General features: G+C 37.5%; 1 protein-coding gene across 24 annotated transcripts in view, besides 1 other annotated feature; it reads right to left on the minus strand.

Annotated features, from left to right (window-relative positions):
• The window catches only part of ARB2A (ARB2 cotranscriptional regulator A), a 493,975-nt gene that overhangs the window by 125,281 nt on the left and 353,101 nt on the right, over window positions 1–15,593 (minus strand). For 2 of the 24 annotated variants that reach the window (XM_047417812.1, XM_005272103.5), the window contains one exon: window positions 343–567. The exons of 21 other annotated variants lie outside the window; for them this stretch is intronic. In XM_047417812.1, the coding sequence (XP_047273768.1) occupies window positions 509–567 (59 nt within the window). In that variant the 3' untranslated portion in view covers window positions 343–508. Of the gene's footprint in view, window positions 1–342; window positions 568–3,264; window positions 6,228–15,593 lie in introns of those variants that run through there. One more of the 24 variants, XM_017009954.3, reaches the window with a different exon arrangement.
• Window positions 13,199–13,946: an enhancer, noted in NCBI's record as "OCT4-NANOG-H3K27ac-H3K4me1 hESC enhancer chr5:93091910-93092657 (GRCh37/hg19 assembly coordinates)". NCBI's record gives its function as "activates a minimal SCP1, AML or CMV promoter by ChIP-STARR-seq in naive H9 embryonic stem cells {active_cell/tissue: H9 hESC(naive)}" and the evidence as "EXISTENCE:reporter gene assay evidence [ECO:0000049][PMID:30033119]".

Raw genomic sequence — 15,593 nt, forward strand, 5'->3', positions numbered from 1 at the left:
GTCAAATCTTATGTACTGGGACTCCTAAAACATCTGAAGTCTACCATCTCCTTCCTAGCCTCATCTTCCTGGGCCCTTAAATACCTCTTCCTAGATGAAGGCAGCACCTTGAGACTAAATTCAACCCAACACTACAGGTTGGGTTGCAGATATGGCCTTGAAGCAATGGTAAAGGAAAAAGAATCAGAAAATTGGCTGCCATCGCTACAGGCTGTGTACTTAGTTATGTGTCATCTGTATCTCTACTGCAACCCTTGCTAGAATGTGTGCCGGCTATGAGCAGGGTCACTGTCTGTCTTGTTCACTGCTAGATCCTCAGCACGTGGAACTATACCTGGAACATGGAAGGAAGTCAAGCAATATTTATTTAATGTTAAATAAGTGAATCTCTGTAGCATTAATGGTAAAAAGACTTCCATATTTGCCTTCAATTAGATTTTAAGATGACAGTCTATAAAAAACAGCTTGCAATATACAGAAGTTCATTTAAGAATAACTTTGCTGGTATCTATTCTCTTGAGGTATACTTACATGCTATTTTTTTCAAAATCACGAAGCAATCAGTATCTGCCAAACGGAATGAAAGCTGGATCACAAAGAGGGATAAAGAAGAGAAAGCAATATATATGCTAAGGTCCACATACTGAAAACAGCCATTTTCTTTTTTTTTTTTTTTTTTGAGACGGAGTCTCGCTCTGTCACCCAGGCTGGAGTGCAGTGGCGTGATCTCGGCTCACTGCAGTCTCTGCCTCACAGGTTCAAGCGATTCCCCTGCCTCAGCCTCCTGAGTAGCTGGGATTACAGGCGCCTGCCACCACGCCTGGCTAATTTTTTGTATTTTTAGTAGAGACTGGGTTTCACCATATTAGCCAGGATGGTCTCGATCTCCTGACCTTGTGATCCGCCTGCCTCGGCCTCCCAAGGTGTTGGGATTTCAGGCATGAGCCATCGCGCCTGGCTAACAGCCCATTTTCATAAGAGAAGAACAGGAAAAAGGTTCATTAGTGGTTTAAAAACAATAGTTGAATGAAAATATTTTTAATGAATTAGAAAACATGAGTTCAAATAGATGTGAGCAAAGCTTTATTATATTTAAACTGAGTTAAAACACAGTGGCTAAAAACATTTACTAAATTAAAAAGTAACCTTGGCCAGGCACGGTGGCTCACACCTGTAATGCCAGCACTTTGGGAGGCCAAGGTGGGTGGATCATGAAGTCAGGAGTTCAAGACCAGCCTGACCAATCTGGTGAAACCCCGTCTCTACTAAAAATACAAAAATCAGCCAGGCATGGTGGCGCGGACCTGTAATCCCAGCTACTCAGGAGGCTGAGGCAGGAGAATTGCTTGAACCCGGGAGGCGGAGGTTGCAGTGTGCCGAGATCGCGCCACTGCACTGCAGCCTGGGCGACAGAGTGAGACTCAGTCTCAAAAAAAAAAAAAAAAAAAAAAAAAAAAAAGTAAGGCTATATATTAACTTGATGGGTTTTTAAAATTTACTTGGATGCTCTCACTTAAGGCTTTCTTTGTACTTGGTCAGATCTCATCTACCAATGTGCATATCTCCCAGTTTATGTGCATGTACTGCCAAAAAGAAAAGCCCATATTCTTAAGGGAAGTCTTGCCATTTCCTCAAAAGTATATTCAACGTCCTATGGAAATGGGGTTAGCAGGGAAACGAAGCAGGAGCATATTTAGTTGGAACAGGAATAGAGATCAGAGGAAGGCAGTTGATGGGAATGCCCAAGACAACTGGTGCTGTTTGTGCTGGGGCATTTGAAAGGCTAATCCACCACCTTCAACAAAAATCACTCTTAGTAAGTGATTAGATTACAATGTAAGAATCAGGCCAGTCTTATCCATGGGGAATTACAGAGTAAGGATGGAAACACATGGTTCCAGTCCCCAATGTATTTATAATCTAAATGAGGGAGAAGAGAAACTGTCAGTAGAGCAGGACAACTATACTCATCCAAAGGGAAGTTAAGAAGTTTTCTATTATTATGATCTTTGGAATCAAGAGTGGTTTTCTGAAAGAGTTGTTTTAAGCAGAAATGCTAAAAAATAAAAAGTATCAGGATTTTTATTATTAGGTTCTCCTTAAGAATTCCCTATTCTAAGGAGACATAACCAACTGCCATGATCCACAAATGATAAGAAGCAGGAAACAGTGAACACAGAGTTAAGAATCAACATCCTTGTAGGGTTTGGTTCAAATTTCATCGTTTTGAGAAGTCTTGCCCTATATTCTGGACCACAGTGACGTCCCTCCCCTCTAAACTTACTGTGATTTCCACTCACATACATTTGCTGCCTTAAACAGCTGGAGTTTTATGTTTTAGTTCTCCAGCTAAGAGATATGGAACCACCTAAATTCGTATTATAGACATACCATTTATTTTATACCTATGTGCCAAGTAACATGCTAATGCACAAGCTAGTCACAGTGCTCTGAGTATAGTAAGTCCATGAAAACATCTGGATGTGCGAGTGATCTGCCTTTTATGTCATTCTGTTGGTCAGTTATTTCACTGGATAGGAAGGTGATCCTTGCTTCATCATTCCTCCAAATGCATCCCTCCCAAAAGCTTCTCATACTCGAGACAGAGGACATGGCTTTGCTCAAGAGTCTATAAGAAGCTCTAGTTCTCTGTAGCAGAGTCTCCAAAAAAAAATTTTTTTTCTTTTTGACTGCAATAAAGCAACAGAGCTGACCAGAAGATCTAAGAATGATATCCAAGTCAGAGAGAGAGGGCAGGGCAGACTAGATGGTGCTGATCTTTATCGTCTCCCCACTCTGCAGATGTCCTAGTAAGTTAGCACTGACCAGGCATTCTGGTGTAAAGGCATTGCCACTAAGATGGACAGATGTAGGACCTCAAGAATCATATTAGTTAAGGAGCAAGACAAAAGGCTAAGGCAGAAGACAAGATGCAGAGACTAGATACTGGGAACACCCTCTCTGGATCCAGGGAGTAAAGTCAGTAATCCAGGAAAACTCTGGCAGCTGAGTACTTTAAGGAATGATGCCTCCCACCTCACAGTGAAAGAGTTAACATCACACATTACAACAATTTAGTTCACTGGAAACTACCTGAAAATACACTGAAATGATTGTCAATCCTTTGTGTGGATCTTTACTAAACTGTATAAAGCAAAGTGAGGCATCAAAGATAAGTTAGGCAATTAAGAAAAACTAATAAAGTACATACAATAAGAACATTTATGTTGTAATAACATAGAAAAAGAGCTAATCAAATCAAGGTAGTTACTAAATAGGATAATTTATTGCTTTTCAAGATAATTTTCATAATAGATAATAGCACTATTTTTTATAGGAGATAACAGAGGACAAGAACATGGGTGAAAGAAGAGCCATTTGTAAATAACAGTAATACAAGATGCTTTTACTCTTGTATGTGGAGAAATGCTATAATGTAGTAGTGTTGCTAAAATAATTTCTTTGATTTCTTTAATTTCAGATTAAGATTATGAGGACTTTTTAAAAACATTACTTCTTTTTGCTGCTGTTCTTTTTAGTATATTAAAAATGGCTGCTTTGTAATGCTGTAATGATGTAATTGCTGCTTTGAAACAAATGCTCATGACACAAATATGACACAACCACCACACAGTCAGAGAACAAAAAGAGACAGAGTACACAGAGAAAAGGCCCTCCATTTTATTTTGCAAATCTGAGATATTCATGAGCTATGAACTTCCTATGCTATAAAATAAAATGATATTAAGTATAAAAACCCTGCAGCCTGCACCAGAAGCCTTAAGGAATTTTAAATATCTGTAAAGGCAGGAAGAGCAGTTGAGCTGAGTGGGGCTGAGTTGAAAGGCACTATGATGATGAGTCAGGTATATTCATAGATAGTCAGAGATAGACAAAGTTTAAAGGCTCTTGTTATGCCAAGCATGATTTAAACAAACTTTTTAGCTGAGTTTGCCCTTGTTACAGAAGAAAAGCTTTAAGGATGTTCTTGCATTGATTACTCTAGTCAGGGTGCAGTCACTATGTTCTACATTCAAATTATCACTCTGCTTCCATTTTAGAGCAGGAGATGCACAACTGGTTTAACGAAAAATTTTTCATTGCACTGCACAATAAAATATACTAACAAAAATGACAGCTTATGACCAAGGAAACTAGTAATCATAATGTGATATGGACTCAGAGAAGTACATGAGAAGTAGAAAAGAATTTCTGTTTACAGCAGATAACTCTTTTAAGTGTTGTGAGAATTATTATTATTTTTTTAAAGAGATTCCAAATTAATTGACTTTGATGCTATTACCATCACAAGTTTGAGGCCTCTGAGAATTTCCTTGGAATCTCTTTAGGAAACTATGAACTGAAACAAGCCAAACAGAGTCACACTGATGTTTTTTTTCTGAAAAATGAACTCTTATTTTAACTAGCATTAAATGCAGCAATGACCATGGAAAATTCAAGAGGTAGTACCAGACAAAAAATTCTAAGCAAAATTTACCTAAATATATAGATTAAAAACTTCTTTCAGCATTTTAAACCTGACAAATAATCAGACAGCATTCAGTCAGCTTATCAAACTGAATCCTCTTCCAGTCACCTCACTATAATCCCAAAGGTCTTAAAGAGAACAAACTAGGTTGTCAGCCTCTCTTTTGAGCAAAATACTCATGCCCAAATCAAAATTTATCTGCTTCTAGTCCATTCCTCAAGCTCCCAGCAGCCTGCTCATCATTCTATGTGTGTGCAGAAAACATCAGGCAGATGAAGGTTTCATCTTCTGAAAGCCTCAGAACTCTTGGCAGTAATTATATCAAACCAACTGTGAGTGGAAAACTGAAAGCAAGATTTCTATTATGATGATTTACTTAATGTAAATTTCATTATTTTTTGAATATTCACCTATACAATCACATGGCTCAAGAGGTACAAAAGTGTATACAGTGAAAATGCACAGTATTTATTCTTAATTCTTATTTTGTTGCCAATCATGGCATTGTTGGCAAGTGCTAATCTAGTTAATGTCCAGTTAGAATTTTACATTTTGCTTACATAGAATTTTCTGTAATAATTTAAATTCAAGCAAGACATTGGTCTTTTCTGATTGACAGACATGTAGATGAAACATAAGGAAGAAGCCAAGGAATTTAAATAAGTTTCTCTTAAGGATATGTTCTACGGCAGGTGTCATTTTGAAAGGAAGACAATATATTAAAGAACTGATAGGCTTTCAGGGGTTGAAGGAGAGTATAGAAGAATATAATATTAGCAGGAAGAAGAATAAAAGGAAAAGGTTAGCATGAAACTTAAGTAGAAGACTTAGGAGAATGAAGAAATAGGGTAGAATATTGAAGAATAGTAAAATAAGGAGTTTAAATACTGTACTGCTGTATAATATCTCAGGAGGCTCTGAGGGTAACCCTATGATAAGATATGACTAGAATTAGAACTTAGATACTTTGAAAATAAAAAGACAGAGGCAGGAAAGAAATGACAAAGTTTTTAAATTCTCAAATATTGAAAAGCAATGAACAGTTTCCCTAAAACTATAATACTTGACTTGCTGGACAAAATAATTATTAATAACAACTACAGGAAGTCCTTGCTTTGGATGATGAGGGACTATAAAAATGACCATACAAGCTGAAACCATGCAAAGTGATCATAATAATCAAAAGGATAAATTGTGATTTTTCTATGACCTTTAAAATTTTGTTAAAATATTAAAAAGCCTCTATTGCCAGCTAAAAATAAAAAAGAAAAAATAATAAAACTAATTTTATTTAGTACACTGTAATTTAAATATTAGAAACACTGAGAATTAAAGTGCTTTATTTCTATGTAAAAAAACTTATTTAAAGTAGATTGATCAGTACTTGCCTTCTTTTCATCATATCACTTATGGTATGGTTTAACCATATCTTTTCTATGCCTGGGCAAAATGTCATAATCTTAAGTTTCAATCAGCTTTCAACATTTTATCCTTTGCACTTTCAATGTTGTGAAACAGCTCTGAGAGTTCATTTAACATGAGAGTTTTTTTTTTTTGTCTTGCTTTTTTGTTTGCCAGTGTCACTTTCTCTGGGATATCTTCATCTTTTTTGTCATAAACACTTTCGATTTCATTTCCAGTGCTTCATTTCTTTACTGCACTGTCATGTGTGTTGGTCAAGTCTCTCTTTTGATCATCCATTCTTGTAAAATGGGAGACAATGCCATCTGTACATGAACTGAAAGCAGATATGAAGTGACCAATCAGTGACAGAGTTTGAAAAAAGTGATGTGATTGGCCATTGATCATGATGTGCATCTGTTATTCACACAGAGATCTGTGGACTGAAGGGCTAGTGGCAAAGTTTGTTCTTAATGCATTTACAGGTAATACATTGTGGTAACTGAACTTTGAATCTTGTTGTCTGGGGAATTGATGTTATTCAACTAAACCATGGTAGCAAAAATTTGTGTATATCAAAACTATGCAAAGTGAAGAATTATGAAGTTCTTACTATATGCCAGGTACTGTTTTAAGAATATAAATTATTTCACTTAATTCTCAATATAACCCAATGAGATGATACTAGTCTTACCCCATTTTACAGACAGTGTGATTGTGAATATTTATCTGGCCATTAACTGTCCACATATTTGGGAGAATACAAATTTCCCATAGTAATGATAAATCCCAAGATCTTCCTGGTAAATGCTGACATACAACTATTAAAGAGTTTGAAATGACAAGTAACATATACTTGTTTGTAATATCTAGAGTAAAAAGTCAGATTTTCATGAAGTATGGAAGGAAGGTGGATACTTTCAGAAGATGCACTAACTCTTCAATAACATTAGAGTGTCATTTAAAAAAAAGGGTGTTGGTGAACTAAAAGTTACTCTTGGATTCCAAAAGAGCTCAGAAGCCCTTTATTTCCTCTACTCCCAACCCCACCACCCATTTCAATGATCATTCTCTCACTAGGAGCAGAGAATCTTTGCAGTAAACACAAGACTTCTTTCTAGGAGACTGTGAGCTCTTTGAGGGCAGAAGTCATGCCTAATACTCTTTATACCCTTGGAGCCTAGATTGGTGCCTAATACATTAGGTGTTCAATACATCTTTGTGTAATTCAAGAATAAATATTTACAGTTGTTTCTTGCCTCAAGAGAATCAAGAATAATGCAAATTAGGGGTAAGACATGAAATTAGGCTCTAATTTTGGGGGATGAATTGAAGATGATTAACTAATTGGTAAAATAATTAAATTTGGATTATCTAAAAATTCAAGCCTTGCTACTTATGCTGATTTGTATGTGCTTGATATTGTTTTTGAAGAAAAGCAAAAATAAATAACTGAGTGATTACTCCTTCATAAGAAAAATATGGCAAAAATCTAAACTACAGTGATTATGGAAGACTATACTTGTCACTGTAATATTCAAACTGAGTACCTCTAATTTAACATACAGCAGCTTTCCTACATATTGGTTATATTTAATCACTTATATTTGTGGCCTTAAATTAACAATGTCTTATTTTATTTTTGAGATGGGGTCTCATTCTGTTGCCCAGATTGGAGTGCAGCAGCACACTCATGGGTGACTGCAGCCTCAACCTCCCAGGCTCAAGTGACCTGCCCATCTGAGCCTCCCAAGTAGCTGAGACAGGCATGCTCCATCAGGCCCAGCTAATTTATTTTTATTTTTATTTTTTTGTAGAGACGGGTCTCACTATGTTGCCCACGCTGGTCTCAAATTCCTGGCCTCAAGCTATCCCCACCTTTGCCTCCCGAAGTGCTATGATAACAGGCATGAGCCATCATACACAGCCAACAATGTCTTATTTTAAATTTAATCACCTTCTATCTGGAAACTGAGAAGGAGAAGTTTAGCTAGTATTTCATATATATTAATATTGACAGAAGACTAAATTTCCTTGAAGAGAATTTTTAAAAAGTAAATAAAAGTAAAAAATCTGAAAATGTTTACATTACTTTCTTAAAACTTCTGAAATATTAGCTAAGAACAAAAGAATCTTCATGCCAATTTTGATTTTAGATTATCAATAACTTTTAACTTAGGGTCTCCTTAAAAAGTCTCATTTATAGAAATCATTGCTACAAAAAGCTTAAGGTAGGGTGTATGTTTTTTTGCCCCAACTTTTTTTTTTTGCCCCAACTTTTTTAACAAGTCACTTCTATAGCACTTTAGAATTTAAGAAATTATATAATACAACTGAATTCTGTCAAGGATTGTGGCAGGCAGTTATGCAAAACATCTATAAACTAGCTGGTATAAGATGTTTTCATTTATTGGTACAATATATTGAATAGTTACGGTCAGATATGTATGGCTGAAGGGGATATTAAACAGACACTATGGACAGAAATGATAGCACAAGGTCTCAAAGAATACTTAGACATCAAATATCAGTTAAATTAATTTTTGCACCTACAAACTGAAGTCATTAATCCAAACAAATTATCTCTTAAAATTTATCATTAAATAGAAATATTTTCCTTTGGAAAAAGACTATATTTTAAGAAACACGAAAAAGTAAAAACTTTAAAAAAATTACACTCCTGCTTTTAAAGTGCTGATAATCAACTCTGAACATCTTGAGATTTTATAAATAAATAATATTTGGCTTATGTGTAGTGCCTAATGTTCACTTTGAAAGTTCATTTTAGTACCAAAGAATATGCATTTTAGATGTTCTAAATCACCTCTAGAAAGCAATGCAGTTTTCTTTGAAGACGTATGTTTTGGGAATATTTTGGCCAGCAGACAGATTTATTACTGGTGACTTGCTGTCAGTCTGTTTATGACAAGACAGAGCAGGCTGAGAGGGTTTACATGGGGGCACACAGAATGTGTAGGGGAGAGCAGACAGTGAGCTTGTGGCTTGAGAGAGACACAAAGCCCACATCAAAGGGAAGTGAAGGGCAAGTGAGCCCAGGCACACCACAGTCAGGCAGGAGAAGACAGAAACATTTGGGCTGGGGGGATGTGATTCCATGGCTGGAAGGACAGAGTCTTCAGGTCGGGGAAACTGGAAGCCATAAAGACATGGCATAGAGGCTAAGCCAGATGAGAAAGAGACCCAGAGTCAATAAACAGACATAGAGAGACCCACCAAGGGCAGTGAACCAGATAGAGCTAACAGAGGGCAAGCGAAGTAAAGACAGCCATAGGAAGGGAGATCAAGACTTAACATATGATAAAAGGGATGAAAATGTGTGTCTTAGGTACCACTGGTCCCTGACTTATTTTTTCCAACAATTACAGACAGAGCATTAAAAGCCATGAAGCTATTCCTATGGGGGCAGTAAAAGGAATAGTGTTTCCATATTAACTCAAAACTTATAATTTTAAGTACAAATACAAATTCTTATTATTCAGTTATTTATCTAAAAGCATTCCAAAAATAATTAGTTAAAAAAATTTTTTATCTTTAAAGAAAAGAGTTAGCTCAGGAAAGGAGAGTTGCCACCTTTACTGCCAAATTCTTCGAAGGAGTTTTCACAAATTGGTTCAGAAAACTGTAAAAAACATGGTGGCTATTTTTAATTTTTTTTAAGTGAGATTTTTGGAGTGAGACTACTTATATTCATTGGAATTACTGGAAAACTGAAAAAGTCAAAATCACAGGATAATATTCGACCTGATGAAATATATATACTCAGGGCAAATGATTATATATACTAGTGATCTATATAAATGAAGATTTTATATTTAGATAAGTTATCTTAAATGATTCTTTAATTAATAACTTTCTGAGAGTTCCTGATTTCAACTATTTATTATGAATGATAAACTGAAAACACAGAGTTCCTGGTGGTCAACTTTTACAATACTTATCCCTTACGTTAACTAATAATTATAAGGTAGCATACAACAATGAATAGAGGAACTGATAACTAAAAGCTACAAGGTTAACTCTACAGTAATAAAAACTGTCTGAAAAGTGTAAAAGTGTTATTTAGTTCATGAAAACATCACTTAAAGGATCAGAATATCTTCTGACTGCAAAGAGGAATGCTATACTTCTTGACTAGTACACATACTCAAAAGTAGTACAGTATCATATATGCTAATATGCCTTGAATTTCAAGATATGTTTACAAGGCAAAGTATAGATTTTCAATTACCTGATTAATTTGAGCTATGTCTAAAAACATATTAGACAACTCAACTTGTCTACACATTCTGAGTGACACCACATTCTAGAGGCAATTACTGTTGATTTTTCATTGCTATCTTTAGAAGGAAGTGATTATTCACTAACAAAGAAGAGATATAACTCCTTAATGTCATTTCCTCAAGAGGTATTTTCAGCAATAAAGTGAAGTGACTATTTAGCAAATATTCAGTAAGTTCAGTCAGTGTAAACAGTCAACCTGGACTATTTAAGCAAATAAAAATTAGGGTTACATTAGCAGGTTGTCTACAATTCAAATTCACCTCATAATTGCTAACTTTCCATTTCATGTTCTGATGAGAAAACGGGGCTTAGTAGTTAGGTACATATGATCAATGGTCCCCTTCTTTACTTCCAAATCCAAGAAAGGCCCATCTAAATAGAGGAACTTCTCAAGTTTAATTCTTAACCCAGAAGACATCTACTATGCTTGGTTGTTTTCCTTTTCCTTTCTTCTTTTTAAAATACATTTACTGTATTCTGTTATCTTTCTAATTTTGAAGTGCCTAGATTTATATCAAGTGTTCTAGGGAAGCTGAAATAACAGAAATGCCTGTCTAAGCTATAGTAGGGGCAAGGAATAATGTGATGGTTGTAAGTTCTGGGAGAAAATATGCTGACAGGTATCAGGCGTTTAGACAACATAATTTTAGTGAATCTAGGTTCAGGTCTTTCCTCAATAGCATGCAGAAAAATGACACTTTAAGGTAGAGCCTTCCATCCTGTGTGCCTGGTACAAAGTGGCCAAAGGCATGTCAAGATCCCCTCACAATTCAGGTCAGACAGGAGGGATGTAGGGTAGCAAAACTCTGTTCATCTACCGCTGGATATAAGTAACCTTGTCTGTGATGCCTAGAGCACTGTACAAATAGTATACTTTCCTATAGCCACTTTAGGAATAGTGGAATAATAATAATTTGCCAGTAACTCTGCTTTATGGTTACTGTAAATCTTAAAGGACTGGTAAAACAAGTCTCAAAATTCATAACCTCTCTTCTAGTCTTCCCTTCCTGCTTTATATTTTCTCCTACATGGAGCTCACATTCTAGTAGGAGAGACAGACAATAAACTTCTGACATCCTATATACTTTTCTTACTTATCTTGATTACTGTTAGTCTCCCTTACTAGAATGTAAGCTCTGTGTGGGACCTTCATCTATTGCAGTTCACTGCTGTGTCCCTGGTACCCACAGCAATGTCCTGTACACAATGACAACTCACTGAATTAATGCATGAAGACTGAATGGGCATACTTAAAGGCACTTAGGGAGCACATTTGGAGGGGGCTGAAAGTACATAAGCCTTAGCAGCAGCACTTCTCCAAACACAGCCCCAGGTAGAACCAATCTAGCAAAGAGTGACCTGTCAGTCATGCACCAGCCAAAGCAAGCTGTGCCAACTTGTAAGAAGTCAGAAGATACCAGTGCTCTATACGCTTGTCTGTTTTCAAACATTTATATTTTCCTTTCCTCTCACCCTGACAGAATGCCCCCTCATACACAGTCAAAAATTAAATTGACTATTTTGGGGGAGCAGCACATCACAGAAGATCATTTCTAATTTTATCTAACTGCTACCACAATGTCTCTTTCAGCTTTATTGCTTCCATATTTCTATGTCCTATGAATATTTTTCCTTCAACTATTAATTTTCCTTTTAATTTCTTCACTACATTTTCTATCATCTTTCTGTGGCTCTGATTTCTGTGTAATATTTTGTGACCCTTATCAATGGCCCAGAGAACATAGGAAAGCCTAAATAAATAAGTTATTTGTTCCGTATAAACAGAAATAGAAACAGGAAAATGAGAGTATTTCTGCAAATGCCTTTTCAGTCCTATAGAATTAGAATAATCAATAATAGTTTTAAATTATAGCCTTAAATTCTAAAATGCCTAATGGGAGTATATAGTACCATGTGGAATTTTTCAGTGTCTTCCTTCTGATGAACTCAAAATGTCCCTCCAGAAAATACACAAATTGTCCTCATATTTATACAAGATAAGTGAGGCAGATATTTACTGTTGCCACTTTATAATAAATAATTAAAATATAGACTATAAAATAAATATAGATCCTATTAACTGATTACACCATTCTCTGAATAACAGTGTCCTTAACTGGCCAATTTTACAAGTAGAAAACACTATAAATAGAGTGAGAATTGGTCTTTAGAGGAGGTAAGATCATCATGGCTGACGGGAGGCAGGACTGGATTGCAGCTCTGGATACAGCAGCATGCAGAGGCTTGCATTGTGAATTCTAGCTCTAGATTGACTGCAAGAACAAACCAGCAATCCTGAGAGGATGCAGACATAAGCGGACTGCTCCTGCAGGACCTGGGAGACAGCCCAAATACTGAGTGCCCCAACTGCGGAAGCGGGAAAGGGAGAGCCTCCACTCCCAAACACACAGCCCCACTGGAGAAACTAAAGGTCTATTTGCTGGAGAAGTTTCCAACCTTACCTGGAGCTGGGTCAATCTGGAGAGCCGAGTGAAATACAGGGGTAGAGGAAGCAGCAGAAACGCGCTGGGAGCTTGCTGGGTCCCCTAGCAGGCCATTCCTGCCTGGCATCACAGGGATCCAACTGGAGGGCAGCCAGAGGAGCAGGGGATAAAATTCCACAGGGAGAAGGAAATCTCTAGCTGAACTTTCTAACAATTTGAAAAGGGCGAGAAGCCTCCTGGCCAGAACTCGGGGGAGGGTGCAAATCCGGTGTGCAGACTCCACAAGCGAGAACCAAGCCCTTTTACTTTTGCAGCTGGGAGGCGAGTAGCCTGGGGCAAGTTTTCAAGCATGTCTTGCCCTCCGCCTGGACACAGACTCAGGGCTGTTGTGGGGGGCATGGTGGGAGTGAGACCAGCCCTTCAGTATGTGTGGGAGCTGGGCGAGGCCTGTGACTGCCGGCTTTCCCCCACTTCCCTGACAACCTGCATGACTCTGCAGAGGCAGCCATAATCCCTCTAGGTACACAACTCCAGTGACCTGGAAATCTCACTCCCATACCCCACAGCAGCTACAGCAAGACTTGTCCAAGGAGAGTCTGAGCTCAGACATGCCTAACCCTGCCCCCATATGATGATCCTTCCCTAACCACCTTGGTAGCTGAAGGCAAAGGACATATAATCTTGGGCGTTCTAGGGCCCTGCCCACCGCTGGTCCCTCTGGATACTACTACAGCTGATGTTCTCTGGAAAGTGCCACTGCCTGGCAGGAGGCCAACCAGCACAAAAATAAAGCATTAAACCGCCAAACTAAGAACCCTGACAGAGTCCCCTGCACACCACAGCCACCTCCACTGGAACAGGCGTTGGTATCCACGCTGAGAATCCAACAGAAGCTCACATCACAGGACTCTGTACAGACACCCTAGTACCAGCCCAGAACGGGGTAGACTCGCTGGGTGGTTATACCCAGCAGAGAGACAACAATCACTGCAGTTTGGCTTACAGGAAACCACATCCATAAGAAAAGGGGGAGAGTACTACACCAAGGGAACACACTGTGGGACAAAAGAATCTAAATGACAGCCTTCAAGCCCTAGACCTTCCCTTGGACAGAGCCCACCCAAATGGGAAGGAACCAGAAAACCAACTCTGGTAATATGACAAAACAAGGCTCGTCAACACCCCCCCAAAAAATCACACTAGTTCACCAGCAATGGATCCAAACCAAGGATAAGTCCCTGATTTACCTGAAAAAGAATTCAGGAGGTTAGTTATTAAGCTAATCAGGGAGGCACCAGAGAAAGGCGAAGTCCAATGCAAGCAAATCCAAAAAATGATATAAGAAGTGAAGGGAGAAATATTCAGAAAATAGACAGCTTAAAGAAAGGACAATCGAAAATTCAGGAAACTTTGGGACACACTTTGAGAAATGTGAAATGCTCTGGAAAGTCTCAGCGATAGAATTGAACAAGTAGAAGACAGAAATTCAGAGCTCAAAGACAAGGTCTTCTAATTAACCCAATCCAACAAAGACAAAGAAAAAAGAATAAGAAAATATGAACAAAGCCTCTAAGAAGTCTGGGATTATGTTAAATGACCAAGCATGAGAATAATTGGTGTTCCTGAGGAAGAAGAGAATTCTAAAAGCTTGGAAAACATATTTGGGGGAATAATCCAGGAAAACTTACCCAGCCTTGTGAGAGACCTAGACATCCAAATACAAGATGCACAAAGAACACCTGGGAAATTCATCACAAAAAAGTTCTTCACCTAGGCACATTGTCCTCAGGTTATCCAAAGTTAAGATGAAGGAAAGAATCTTAAGAGCTGTAAGACAGAAGCACCAGGTAACCTATAAAGAAAAACCTATCAGATTAACAGCAGATTTCTCAGCAGAAACCCTACAAGCCAGAAGGGATAGGGGGCACTATCTTCAGTCTCCTCAAACAAAACAATTATCAGCCAAGAATTTTGTATCCAGTGAAACTAAGCATCACATATAAAAGATACAGTCTTTTTCAGACAAATGCTGACAGAATTCTCCATTACCAAGCTACCACTACAGGAACTGCTAAAAGGAGCTCTAAATCTTGAAACAAATCCTGGAAACACATCAAAACAGAACCTCTTTGAAGCTTAAATCACACAGGACCTAAAAAACAAAAATACAAGTTAAAAAGCAAAATCAAAAAACAAAAAAACCAACGTACACAAGCAACAAAGAGCAGGAGGAATGCAATGGTACCACACATTTCAATACTAACATTGAAAGTAAATGACCTAAATGCTCCACTTAAAAAATACAGAACCTCAGAATGGATAAGAACTCACCAACCAACTATCTGCTGCCTTCTGGAGACCCACCTAACACATAAGCACTCATATAAACTTAAGTAAAGGGGTAGAAAACAGCGTTTCATGCAAATGGACGCCAAAAGCAAGCAGAGGTAGCTATTCTTACATGAGACAAAACAAACTTTAAAGCAACAGCAGTTAAAAGAGACAAAGAGGGACATTATATAATGGTAAAAGGCCTTGTCCAACAGGAAAATATCACAATCCTAAACATACATGCATCTAACACTGGAGCTCCCAAATTTATAAAACAATTACTAATAGACCTAAGAAATGAGATAGACAGCAATATAAAAATAGTAGGGAACTTCAATACTCCACTGACAGCACTAGACAGGTCATCACGACAGAAAGTTACCAAAGAAACCATGGATTTAAACTATACCTTGGAACAAATGGACTTATCAGATATATACGGAACATTTCATCCAACAACTGCAGAATACACATTCTATTCAACAGTGCATGGAACTTTCTCTAAGATAGACCATATGATAGGCCATAAAACGAGCCTCAATAAATTTAAGAAAGAAATTATATCAAGCACTCTCTCAGACCACAGTGGAATAAAACTGAAAATCAACTCCAAAAGGAACCTTCAA

The sequence above is a fragment of the Homo sapiens genome, chromosome 5 (genome assembly GCF_000001405.40).
Source record: "Homo sapiens chromosome 5, GRCh38.p14 Primary Assembly".
NCBI classification, from domain to species: Eukaryota; Metazoa; Chordata; class Mammalia; order Primates; family Hominidae; genus Homo; species Homo sapiens.